Genomic DNA, 13,014 nt, shown 5'->3' with positions numbered 1-13,014 from the left:
ATGGCATTTTTAAAGAAAAATCTTAACAATTATCACGTGCAAGTATGATGGTGCCATCTTAAAGAATAAAGCAGAGTTGAATGTAGCAACGTTTTCTGATTTAGCCATCTTCCCCTACCGTTGGTCAAATGTACAGGTAACAAAGACCCAGTAGGGAAATCATCTAAGGATCTGGTGTCACCACATCCTTGGCTGTCTCTCTGTAGGGGTAACAAATGACAGAATTACCCCCTCTTATGCCTCTAAAAACTGTTGTTATGCTCTGAGAGCAAGAAAGCGAAGAAGTATGATTTGTTCTTTTTGTACAAAACTAGTTACTGGCTTTAAAAGAACAAAATTTGAATGTCATGTATTTTCTGCAAACCTCCAGATCAAACTATCCCAGAGTAAATATTCTCTATGCCATGTATCCTGAAAATACACTATTTTTTCTCTATTGACATATTTAGGAGTAACACTGCTACTTGTACACAGGTATTTTAGAAGAGAGGAGAGAAGGAGAGAGAAGTAGAACATTTTAAAGTGAAATGTCTTACTCTGGCTCGTTCCAAGCTTTTTATCTGTTCATGGAATGCCGCTGGGCTCTTCAAAGCTGTGAGAAAAGAAATGGTTTCCACAGTATAAATAGAGTTCATACTTCAGTCCAATGTTATAGTATACCATGGTGATAACCCTATTATTAACAGATCACAACTACAGTTCCATTAATTTACCAGTTCCATTAGGAGACCTGCAAAATTTGAAATCTTAAATGTTACAGGATAAAAATTATGTATTTCACAAATAAAGTAGACATTTAAAACACGATTGTATACAAAATGACAATGCAAATATCAGTTCAGACTAGTTCTGACTACTCATAGCAAATCTCCATTGCCGAGGGGACTGTCTGATGACTCCTTGATGAGTCTTTGCTCTTAATGGTCATATAAGCTATAGAAAAAGTCCGTATGTCCTTGGGAGTGATGTAACCTTGAACATCACACTGCACTTTGTGTCCAACAGATTTGAGGTATCATTTATTTAGAACCCGTAATGGGCTCTGTGCTTAACCATGGCTATGTTGCTGTTGGTCCCTGCAATAACCTTGCAAGGAGGTGAAAGGCTCAAAGAAGTTAAGTGAATTCTTGAGGCCATACAACCAGATGGTGGTCAAAGTGGTATTTAAATCTAGAATTTTGAATTTGAAGGGTTCATGCTCTTTCTACCATACCACAGTGCAACTCACAGTAAAGACACAGTGACTCCTTAATATGCTACCTGCTGGTAAATCCAATATTCTGGAATCCTAGTGTGAGGGTAAGCAGTGCTTACCAAATCGTCACCTACAACCGTATTCTATCAATTATCTTTGCAAAATCTTGTCTGCATATGTCCACTATTGCCTGGTAACACCCTGCACTTCCAAGCATGGGCAGTCAGATGAGTGGATGGGATAGAGGACTGGGATTCCTTGGGCTGTCACCTGCAAGACTTGACCAATCAGCTCTTACAGCATTATTTTCAGCTCTGGCACATGAAGCACCACAAAGACTCCCAGGAGCCCAGTCCAATCAGGTTTGGCTGAGGACCAGCACCCGAAAGCAGATTAGAGCTGGCCTAGCAATGGTGTCTTAAATATCATAATTTGATCCTCTTTGATTAGTTGGTTCATAGTCAGGGATGTGGTGGTGGTGGTGGTGGAGAAATCTGGCAGATTATCAAAGCACCTTTTGCCTATCACAATGCTAGATTTAAAATATTTAGATTCTCAATAGTAGTCCAGAAAAAAAAGGTTTTACTGGGAAAAATATCTACTAAAGAGAAAAATCATTCCATATCATAAACCAAGAAAGCAGTTTATCATAGCCATGATTCAGAAGACTGGAAAGCATAAATTAATGCTGTAATTTCTTTCTAGTGTTTTGAAACTGAATAAGTTACCTCTTGGAAAGGTCCATTTTTACACAAAATCCAGATACACAATCCTAATGGCCTATACAAAACAGCCACTCCTCCCCACTAAAATATAAAACCACCTCCAAACTTGGTGACTAAAGGTAAAGAAACAACTAGAACAAACATTCTAAAATTAATCAACTCTCAAAAATTTCTGAAAGGAACAAACCCTAGGGATAGAAGGGAAATAACTGTACTTGAGACAAAAATATGAATTATAAATGGAATGTTTATCAGTCCTGTAACTGAGATACATTTAATTACTGTACACAGATCATAGCATAGCATTAAATATAATTAACTGGAACTAAATAAGTCTAAGTAAAAATTGTAAATTAATTTTATGTTTTTTGGCAAGTCTAATGAATTTCAAATCCATTAGTATAGTGATTACTTTAGTCATTTCAAAACTAAAACAAATATTAAAGTTTAAAGAAAGAATGAATGTTAGCCTAATTACAGTGTAAAGGTGTTCTGTGTGTAATATAAAATTCAAGTTCCTCTTTTAAACTGCATCTGGTTTTTAAAATGTATTCTAAATGATTCACTTAGGTGCCTGATTTTTCCTTGGAAATTCATTTGGTAATTGTTTGTTGATTAAATGGATACAACTGAAAGCAGAGCAAGATGCAGGCTCTTCTTGGACACGCCCGTCATGTTCTGTCACGTTAGGGATGGCAGTGATGGTATAAATCTTACGTGGCATGATGCCCTGGTCCACTAGTTGTTCTCTCGTCCTCCTTTGTTGCAGCCTCAGCTGGAGCACTGTGAAAAGGAAATAATCACCATTGGAGTTTATCGGCAACTGTGGGATCCGATTTATGTGATTCCAGAGGAGATGCAATTAAGCTTTATCAAGCATCTTCTATTTCACAATTAAAAAGAAGGATATTACCTGGCACCACGTAAGTTGTAAAAGGAAAATTATTTTGTAATTTCTGCCTGTTTAGTGAACACTAAAGTTTACACAGTATAAATTTTTTGGTTTATCCTATTTTGATGACCAAAGCTATGTATTTGTTGTTTAAAACATTCATAGTACTCAAGAAAATAAAAATAGTTGGCTTATATATTAAGACTTGCTAATAAATCTAATTTATAGAAATAAGAGACGTGAAATTCTTTGACACATCTTAGTTTTTTAAAAACAAATTAATAGCAAAAACTTATTTTAAGACTGACTATAAGTGGCTTTAAGGAAGGCTGCTTGCATAATAAAAATTAGACCTATGAGATATTCCTAATGACTCAAAGGGAAATTTCTAAATTAGGAATTTAAAGTTTAGTAATCTTTGCACAAACATGATACCATGTATCTCACTCTATAAGTTCTAAGAAAGTCACAAATCAGTTGACACCTTATTATTTTAATAAAAGAGTAAATTATTAGAACTGGCAGAGAACAAGATATACATTATGAAATGGAGACATCCAGTTTGCCAAATTTAATAAAAAATTAATTTTTTTCTAGTTTTCTCAAGCAGATTCCTTTTATAAGCATCTACATATTTTTATCTGGAAAATGAGACTATTTCAAAATAAGGGGAATACAGGAGGTGACTCTGAAAAATATTTTTCTTGCTTTGCTTTACATTCAAACCAGTTTCCACTGTGATTTTAAGTTGCCATTTTGATTTTTGTTTCAAACCATGGATGAAAACCAAGATTAGAGTGATTAAGAGTCTGCTTAATGGTTGTCAATATGCTTAAAAAAATTACTTATGTGCCTTTCTTACTTAAATGGTGGGAAGAGAAGACACAATTTTCTAGTGAGTGGTGATGGCTGGAATGAGAGGCTCAAATGCAGTGCACGTGGTGTCTCCTCCTTGCAATAAAACCTTGAGGCCTGCAGACGCAGGCACGTGGCCTCCATCCCTTGTTTTTCAGTTGGTCTTGCGCTGACTGCAGAGCAGAGCACAGTCTTAGGTAAAGTTCAGAAAGAATCTAAGCTGTCACATGGCTTTTAAAAATATTTTATCATTGTTTGATATGAATGTCATCATCTATTAGATACAGAAATAAGTTTGGGTTTTTGTTTGGTTTGGGGCCACAGGATCACAAAACTTCATTGATAGCCTATTTAGAACTGAAGCAACTGACAAGATTCTGCTACACAAAGCAAAAGAAATAAAATTTCTTTAAAAAAGATATGCACATTCCTGACATTAAGATGTTCTGTGATACTTTCAATCAATTGTGCGCTAACAGAAAGATCTTTTCCCTAAGTTGATTGAGGATAGTATGTTCCCACTGTACTTTACTAAGAACAAAATAACCAAGGAGCTGACCTGTGCATCTTACAGCACCCAAAGACCTGCGTACTTTAACATTCTTCTAGGAATGCTAAAGTAAATGCTTGTCTGCATTTAAGATAATCATATTCAAGAAGCAGAATCTCAAGAAAAAGACAACTGAGAGGAGAAAAGGGTTAGAACAGTTCTCCAGATCAAAGGTTGATACTTCTGGAACATGGTGGTCCATGTCTGTTGGAGAATCTCTAGCAGGAAAATCTTTCCTTTCTCCCAAGGGAATCCTCAAAAGAGTAAAAAAGAAAGAGTAATGAAAATATCAACCACCCCCTTTTTGGTTTAAAACAAAAACCAAACAATGAAAGCACACATTTGTGAGACAAATCTATCAGACACAATACGTTTTTTGGGTGAATGGCATCTTTGAATGATGCATACATCTGCAACAACTTGATTTGCAAACCAACACTCTGATGACAACAGCTGGTTAGTCCTGGAAGCATCTCTTGATTGTACATTGGTCATTTCAGGTGCCTTCATTTACCAGGACAGCAGTCCTGTCAGCTGTATCATCTATCACCAGAAATCACACTTTCATGCTAACATGGAAAGAAAGGTACCTGCTACCATGAGGGTAACATACAACACGGATGCGTGTCATTCTGATCTGTTTCTATTTCCAACACTTCTGACACCAGATGTGTGGGCTTTTCCCTCATACCAACCAATTCTCCAATTCTGGATGCCCAACTGGGTGTCCAATGATTCAATTCTGACACTAGGTACCTGGAGTTAGTGTCAGATCCTACAAGTTAAAGGGCTCCATCCCAAGAGACTGCCCTCACTTCAGATGCCAATTGTTAGGCCAAGCCACTCAGACTTCTGACCAATGAGTTATAAAGTTGGGAGGTTCCCATAATCCCCTCCCCAGGTTTGATAATTTGCTAGAACAGCTCACAGAACTCAGGAAGGCACTTTACCTATTATTAGTAGTTTATTCTAAAGGATACAACTCAGGGATAGCCAAATGGAAGAGACACATAGGGCATGGTATGGGAGAAGGGGCACAGAGCTCCCATGCCCTCTCTAGGTATACCACCTTTCCTCTGGCCATGCCTTGGTCTTTCTGGTGATCAGCCCCTATCTGGAAGCTACCTAAAGACCTTCAACTACCTGTCATCTCAGTAGCATACAAAAACCACTCTCATCACTCCAGAGAGTCCAAGGATCTTAGAAAGAAGCTCTTTGTCAAGAACTGGGGACTAAGACCAAATGTATAACAAATGATGCTCCTATTACTCAGGACATTTAGGAGAACTTTAGGAGTTCTGTGCCAGAAACCCAAGACAAAGAACACATATACATTTCTAATTATATTCACAATATCGTAGACACCAACCACCAATTATTAAAATAAAACAACACACACAAACATTTGTGTTTTCTATCCCATTTTCTATGTGGCCAAACAAGCAACCAAACAACCCTACTTATACTGCTTGAAGGTAGGAGAATAATTTCCCCAATTAACGCTCTCATCATTGCCTATAAAACTTTCCCAAGAAGCAAGAACCTCCCACTACAAGTATTATTCAAAGCAGCTGTGGCCATCGGCCTCCCCCAGGCACATTCATTTATTTAGAGCATATCTGTTAGGTGTCTGGGTACTGCATGGGGTACAAATCCATGGGAAAGAGCAGCAGCAGTAGCAGTGAAAGGAAGATCTTTTTTAAGCGACGTTAGGAAGAACATGAATGGAAGGGGAGGCAGAATTGCAAGTAACTAGCCATTTTGTTAAGTATGTTGATTACCCAGTTTTTTTTTTTTTTAGCTTTTATCTGCACCCATAGGTGGACACTACTGCACATATTATATTGAATATGAGGCACTATGTTCTAGCAAGAGATCAGGTACATTGCTACTTTGGGTAGTATTAAAACACAATTATACTTTGGGAGGCCGGGACGAGACTGGCAGATCATTGGAGCTCAGGAGTTTGAGACTAGCCTGGCCAACATGGTGAAACCCGTCTCCACTGAAAATATAAAAACTAGCCAGGCGAGGTGGCAGGTGCCTGTAATCCCAGCTACTCAGCAGGCTGAGGCAGAAGAATCGTTTGAACCCAGTGAGCCGAGATCGTGCCATTGCACTCAAGCCTGGGCAACAGAGCGAGACTCTGTCTCAAAACAAAAACACACAATTACAGTATTACTTGTTGATGTCAACTAAAACCAGTCATTCACAATTGACACAGGCTATTCTGAGAGCAACTACTACTTATAAAAAGTACAGATCATATAGGTATAGACTTATAATTTTGGCAGATATCAAACTTCCTTTCAGAACTTCTGTTCATCAAATTACTAACAAAATTAATGTATAAGTCACAGCAGATATCTGCACCTTAGACAGAGACCATCCAGGAAGAACATGGCTTGAATGATAGACAGCTTAATTGTCATGAGACACAGAAGTCAGGCAGAATGTACTGGTGCTTATCCACGACTGAGGAAGGGGTAAGGGACCCTGAAAACAGAGGACCAGACTCTTCTAATGATCAGAGAGGCATTCACGGTTGTGGGATCAGGAATGCTTTATCAAGTTTTCCTGGGACCTTCATGGATTAAGCCTGGAGACCTCCTTCCTCCCTTTTCAGCCTCCATGCTTACCCTCCATGTTTATATCTGCATGGAGGGGAAAAAAGGCTTAGACCACTGAATGTCACTCAGCCTTGCACAACTGCCTGACAAATTGTGCTTGTGTTGACAAGATTTCATATCTGTAGCTGCAACCAAAGACTAGACACTGGCCTGGTACTGTTTTCCTGCAGCAGAGGCAGTCTGGCAATGGCCTCATGTGTCAAAACTGAAACCAAGAGCATTCTCTCCCGGTGCCTTGCTGAGTAGATGAACCATACTATTGGGTTGACATCATAGCCTCCGTCTTCTTAGTAAGTTGAGTAACAGTATCTTCCATGGCCATCATGCAAGAAAAGGATACACGTACAAACTATAGAATCCTCAGGGGACTAAACAGTTCAAAACACTGAGTGTGTACATCCTTTCAGAAACAAAGGACATAAGTAATAAAGATAAACAGACTTCATGTTACAATTGCTCACATTTGAACATTTTCAAAGAATATTATTTTTGAAAAAGGTAAAGGCTAAACAATCCAACACATGGTCCTAAGAAGTCCTGAAATTTAGAATCATGGTTTAAAACAAGGTGTAAACCTGTTTCATTTTATCAAAAAAGGGGGACAGATATAAAAAAGCATATCTCATACAGGTAGCATTGTATTCTCTGTGCAAAACATTTACCCCAAGTTGACAATTCTACAAGAGCTGTATATTTCCAGATGACAAAACTCACAAGAGGCAGGCAAAGCACCCTCACGGATGGAGGGAGATGAGGTTATAAATCCATTTACTTACTGTATGTATCCCATCTTTCCTAACTAGCCTGGGTCCCAGGCATTTTTATTAAAAAAAATCTTTTCACACATGATAGGAGCCAAATATGTTCATTACACAAAATATGGAAATAGAAAACAGTAGGATAAAAAAACTAAAAAAGAAAATCACCGATAATATCATCATCCAGAGAGACACAACTAGAGTTACCATGTATTTCCTCTGTCTTTAAGCATAGATTTTGATTCTCTGCTTCTACATACTCCGATCACTCTGTAACTACAATGATAAATATTCTTATTATTTTAGTGGCTACATAAAATACTCTGTTAGGTGGATATGGCATAGTTTACTAAATAGTCCCTGTTTATCACTTAGGTTGTTTCCAATTTTTTAACTATAAATAATGCTGTGGTGCAATTTTTGTGTATAAAGTTAATTCTTCATTTCAGTTATTCCCTTAATTTGAATTCTTAAAAGGAAGACTATTCCAATGTAATATATATAAAGCATGATCATAAAGTAATGAGACTAATTTCCTCACGTATTAACCATTGTCTTTTGCAATTGTAGCAGACATATGTGAACATGGATACAGATGGCTATTTCATTTAAAGAAAAAAATTTATTGAATTATGATCTTTCATCTCTTAGGGCTAACATTTACAGTTTTCTATTACATTTCAATAAGGAGAAAAGGGTGTATAATTTTGAAATTTTTACTTAATCCTTATTCCTTATCACAACAGATAAAAACAATATTATGTCAATAGAGGTGTTTTGAATTTGCTCTACTTTTATGCAAGAAAAGTAAAAATTTGATTTTAATCCCAATTCCAAAAAAATGAAAGGTAGCTTATCCAATGATAAACTGAAAATGTCATTCCCAGCAATATGGTAGTTTAGATATAAAGTATCTTAAGTGTTACAGCTCTTTTAGAATTTGTCTAGCGGGTTTTCCATAAAAAAAAGTATCTTCTTTTAGTTCCTTTCCCCTGCTTCTTAAATGGTTTAGAGTGCTTTTAGAACAAAATTTTAAGATTCGTTTCCAATATAAAAAAACTGTAAGGCCAAACTCGGTGCTTCATGCCTGTAATCCCAGTGTTTGGGGAGGCTGAAGAGGGAGGATGGCTTGAGACCAGGAGTTTGAGAACAGCCTGGGCAACATAGTGAGACCCTGTCTCTACCAAAGAAAAATAAAAAATAAAAAAAATTAGCTGGCATGGTAGCACACACCTGTAGTCCCAGCTACTTGGGAGGCTCTGAGGTAGGAGGATCACTTGAGCCCAGGAGTTCGAGGCTATACAGTGAGCTATGATTGTACCACGGCACTCAAGCCTGGGCAATAGAGCAAGAACTCTGTCTCAAACAAACAAATAAACACACAAAACAAAACCTTTAAAATACAATAACTTCTTTCATGTGATACTTATAACCCTAATTCAAAAATTTCACATGCTTTTTGAACCAAGATATGTCTTTCCTCTTTTGTTTCCGTAAGTAGAATGTTGAAATTTTTTTTTTTTTTTTTTTTTTTTTCGAGACAGAGTCTTCCTCTGTCGCCCAGGCTGGAGTGCAGTGGTCTGATCTCAGCTCCCTGCAACCTCTGTCTCCTGGGTTCAAGTGATTCTTGTGCCTCAGCTTCCTGAGTAGCTGGGATTACAAGTTGTGTACCACCATGCCCGGCTAATCTGTTGTATTTTTAATAGAGACGGGGTTTTCCTATGTTGACCAGGCTGGTCTCCAACTCCTGGCCTCAAGTGTTCCATCCGCGTTGGCCTCCCAAAGTGTGAAATGTTGTCTTAATATGATGTAATTAAAGTGCCTTTTCCCCCTAAAGGAAACAACACATTGTATGCAGCATATTAATAACAAAGAGCAGTTTAGTTTGAGTTGAGCAAGCCGAGGCAAAGCATGGCTCTGGCCCTGAGTTTTCAGTGGGACATAGAGGACTGTATGTTACCAAAACAATGCAAAAATGACACTTTCTGGGGAGCATAATGGCAGGCAGCCATGGTCTTGGAAATTCTTTACGAACAGCTGGATTTCAGTTATGGGTATGAAGGAGGGTGGGAAAGGGGAGAGGGGAGAGGTGATGAACAGCTATCTGTGAGTTAGAGAGAAGCTCCAATGTATATTACTTAATTACAGGACAATGGACAGAATAAACTTTAGGATCATGAGGAGTGAAAAAAAAAAGCCTGAGCAGTCAAGTGAGGATTAGATGAACCATCTCTGAAGATGGAAAACTAAAGAATACTCTAGAATTGACTATGTATTGACTCTGAAGTCAGTACTAGGTAATAAACAGATCCTAGTTTCAGTTGTTTATTTTTCAAACAGATGTCAGGGTAGTTAAGAGAATGAAGTGGTTGGACTTTGGCAAACATTTATTATGCATTGTTTAAATAGTATTAAGTGAAGGCCTGATCCTGTAAAAACAAGACAGTTTAGAAAAGCCAGCTTCCTCATATTATCTTTTGAGCTTGGATACAGGAGGGATTAATTGGATTCCATTCAATACTTGTTTCAGTGTTTGATCAGATAGCAGTGTGGTGGCCAAATGTAGAATTGCACTTGTTTAATCAGGTAAGGACTTGAAAACAATTGTACTGAAAGGGCAAAAGACTGATGAACTACTTTTCCTTTCTCTTAAAAATAAATGTTTAAAATGGTGGTGGCTATTACTAATTATTACCACTACTATTACATTAGACACTTGGTGAAAATAACACTTTTTTTCTCCAAATATAAAACCATAAGGCTTTAAAAATTTTAGTTCCACAAAGATTCACAAATTTATAGTTCTCTGCTGTGAATAGTTTATTTTGCAGTCAAAGGGGAGAAAGTCAAATCACGAAGGGTCTCCTTCTGAGCCCGGGACTCAAACAGAACACTATGTGTACTGTTAGTATCTTGATTTAAGAATCCCTGTTTTATAATACATTTTTCTTTTATTTGTTAAAATAAAGTATACATGCACATAAAAAGAGATTTTAAAAAGAAAAGTGAAAGTTAATCCATTCTACTTCAGACCTTCAGTCATTCTCCCCAGAGGTAACCACTGTTAGATTTCTATGGCTCGGAGAAGATGTCTTGTGAATTGTCCACCAATGTTATATATAACATATGCAAAGGAAGTATATGTGTCAGATAATAGTATTTATATAGTTTGGTAATTTGCTTAAAGAATATCAAGGAATCTAGCTCTTTTTTTTTTTTTTGCCTTGTAAACAGTAGAATTTTATACAAATATAAAGTTTTGCACCTTCAAAGCTATCACTCTAATAAGACACTTATTCAATTAAACAAATAATCTTAAAAACTATTTTAACAATGTACAAATACATTCACAACATAATCTGCTGATTAAGACTTCAACAAGGTTTATAATACCTACGACAGAATTTACAGATGCCTACAATAGTTTGTAGATTGGTTTAGTTTACAGTTACATAGATTGCTTTAAGAAATACCATTAATACAAATGCATAATTTACAATATCCCCATTATAGCAAGAAAACGATAGATTCAGAAAATAAAATGTCTTTTAGGCATTTATTATGCCAAGTATGTAAATGATTATTCTCATTATGACATGAGAATAATGCTCTTTTAGTGGTAAAAGCTCTATTAGCTCAAGGTCCACTGAAGAGCTTTCAATCTAGCTATCCTTTCTGTAAAATAAATAGAACAGCAGCAATCTCTGGGTATTCCTTAAACTACGATGATTCCACTTATATTAACTGGGCCTTAAGTAGATGACTTCTTACAAATAAAAATAAAATTTTATAAAGTAGTTAGTACCACTGGCCCTAACTGTTTTCACTTGCTTGCAAACATCTAAGAAATTTCCCCAGGAAGTACATATTAAAAACTAACAATTATTTCTAACTTACACAGAAGCCAAAGTGCTCACTCTTACCATGGAAGCAAAACTTTCTCCTGAAAACAATCTACAGAAATAATATGTAAACATATAGAGCTTTGAGACACACTAAGAACATCCTCCTATGTTCTATGGATCACAATGCAAAGGTCTCCATTGCCTATGTAAATGAACACTTTCGTTAACTTGGGATATACTGATATTACATGGCCGTGTGCATACCTATGGAATGTGCATACCTACACCACAGAATAAATCTTGACAATGTTTCTAGTGCCAACATATACTTTCTCGCCCCAACTGCTGGAAATAAAAACTTAATACGAAAACTATTTTTCCTTTTTATAAATAAAGTTTTTAAGTGGAAAAACAAAGCCAACACTCCTCGTTGCAACATGGACTAAGCTCTAAAAGGTTCAAAGTCAAGACTTATCTCTTCAGTTGTTCCCCAATGTAACAAAGCACATAAGCTTTCTCTCTTCAGGAAGTCTGATCATCTCCAGTGTTTTGTCTTAAAAACTGCTTTCCAAAATATAAAGTAGCCATGCTGGTTAAATTCTTTCTGCTGCCCACCTTACACCTGAGGTAACCATACAGGTTGGCACCTTGTAGCACCACACCCACGATAACCACCGCCAACCACTTTTTACTCTGAAGGAGAAGCGTGCACTGAAGGCAAGTATCACCCACAGCACTGGACAGGCAACAAGTCCCAACCAAAAGATTCCTGATTCAGCCTCTGACACAGTTTCATTCTCTTGAGAGGACTCCTTTCTAGATTCAAACACCCAGTGGCTCTTTCCATCTTCATCAACGTGATTCCACCAACGTAGGCCAACCATTAGTCTACCTGTGATATTCTTCACTGCCCAAAAGTCACATGACAACAAGATAATTGTTACCATACAGGTAATAAAGCTGCTGCTGAGCAATTCACAGAGAAGACAGACGATGATTGCACTGACTCGAAAGAATAAGTGGAAAAACGATGCTACTGGATGTCTGATTTTGACTTTTCTTGGTCTATTAGTCGTCTCCTCTTCCGCATCAAACAGTGAAACATCTTTAGTGTCATCATTACTATCCTGCTGCAACATGGCGGCCCTACGCCAGCCTTACTTCCGGGAGCCACGTCAGCGCAGCAGCGTACGGGTCCGGGTCGGAACTCAGAATCTAGCTCTTTCTTAAAGGCTGTATCTAACATATGGATGTATTATTCATATACTTAAGCTACCAGGTTTTTTGCTATTACAAATAATGCTATAATGAATATCCTCATTCATTTTGGGGGCATCCTTTGATGATATACCTATAAATTAAATTTCTAATAATGGAACACGCCCTTAAAACTTTGATAAGGTCACTTTGCCTTCCAAATGGTTGTGCCAATCTGTAGTCCAGCTTACAAGGTAAGATAGTACCTTTTTATTTTTCCCCTTCCCCACAATGTATAACATTAAGTTTTAAGGTAAATTTAAATTCAGAAACAAAGATTACCTCCTCTCACCTAAGGGTACTAGTG

The 13,014-nt window shown here is 37.2% G+C and overlaps 1 protein-coding gene and 2 pseudogenes across 33 annotated transcripts in view; 1 reads left to right on the top strand and 2 right to left on the bottom strand.

Moving 5' to 3' along the window:
- Positions 1 to 13,014, bottom strand: part of MRTFB (myocardin related transcription factor B) — a 272,006-nt gene that overhangs the window by 53,834 nt on the left and 205,158 nt on the right. For all 33 annotated transcript variants that reach the window (XM_047434393.1, XM_047434392.1, XM_017023501.3 and 30 more), the window contains 2 exons: positions 2,638 to 2,703; positions 537 to 592 (listed from right to left, as the gene is read on the bottom strand). In XM_047434393.1, the coding sequence (XP_047290349.1) occupies positions 537 to 592; positions 2,638 to 2,703 (122 nt within the window). The remainder of the gene's footprint in view (positions 1 to 536; positions 593 to 2,637; positions 2,704 to 13,014) is intronic.
- LOC124903783 (uncharacterized) lies at positions 8,523 to 8,566 on the top strand (annotated as a pseudogene).
- Positions 10,827 to 12,580, bottom strand: TVP23CP2 (TVP23C pseudogene 2; annotated as a pseudogene).

Source organism: Homo sapiens, chromosome 16 (assembly GCF_000001405.40).
Source record: "Homo sapiens chromosome 16, GRCh38.p14 Primary Assembly".
Taxonomy (NCBI): Eukaryota; Metazoa; Chordata; class Mammalia; order Primates; family Hominidae; genus Homo; species Homo sapiens.
This window is presented reverse-complemented; position numbering and strand designations above follow the sequence as displayed.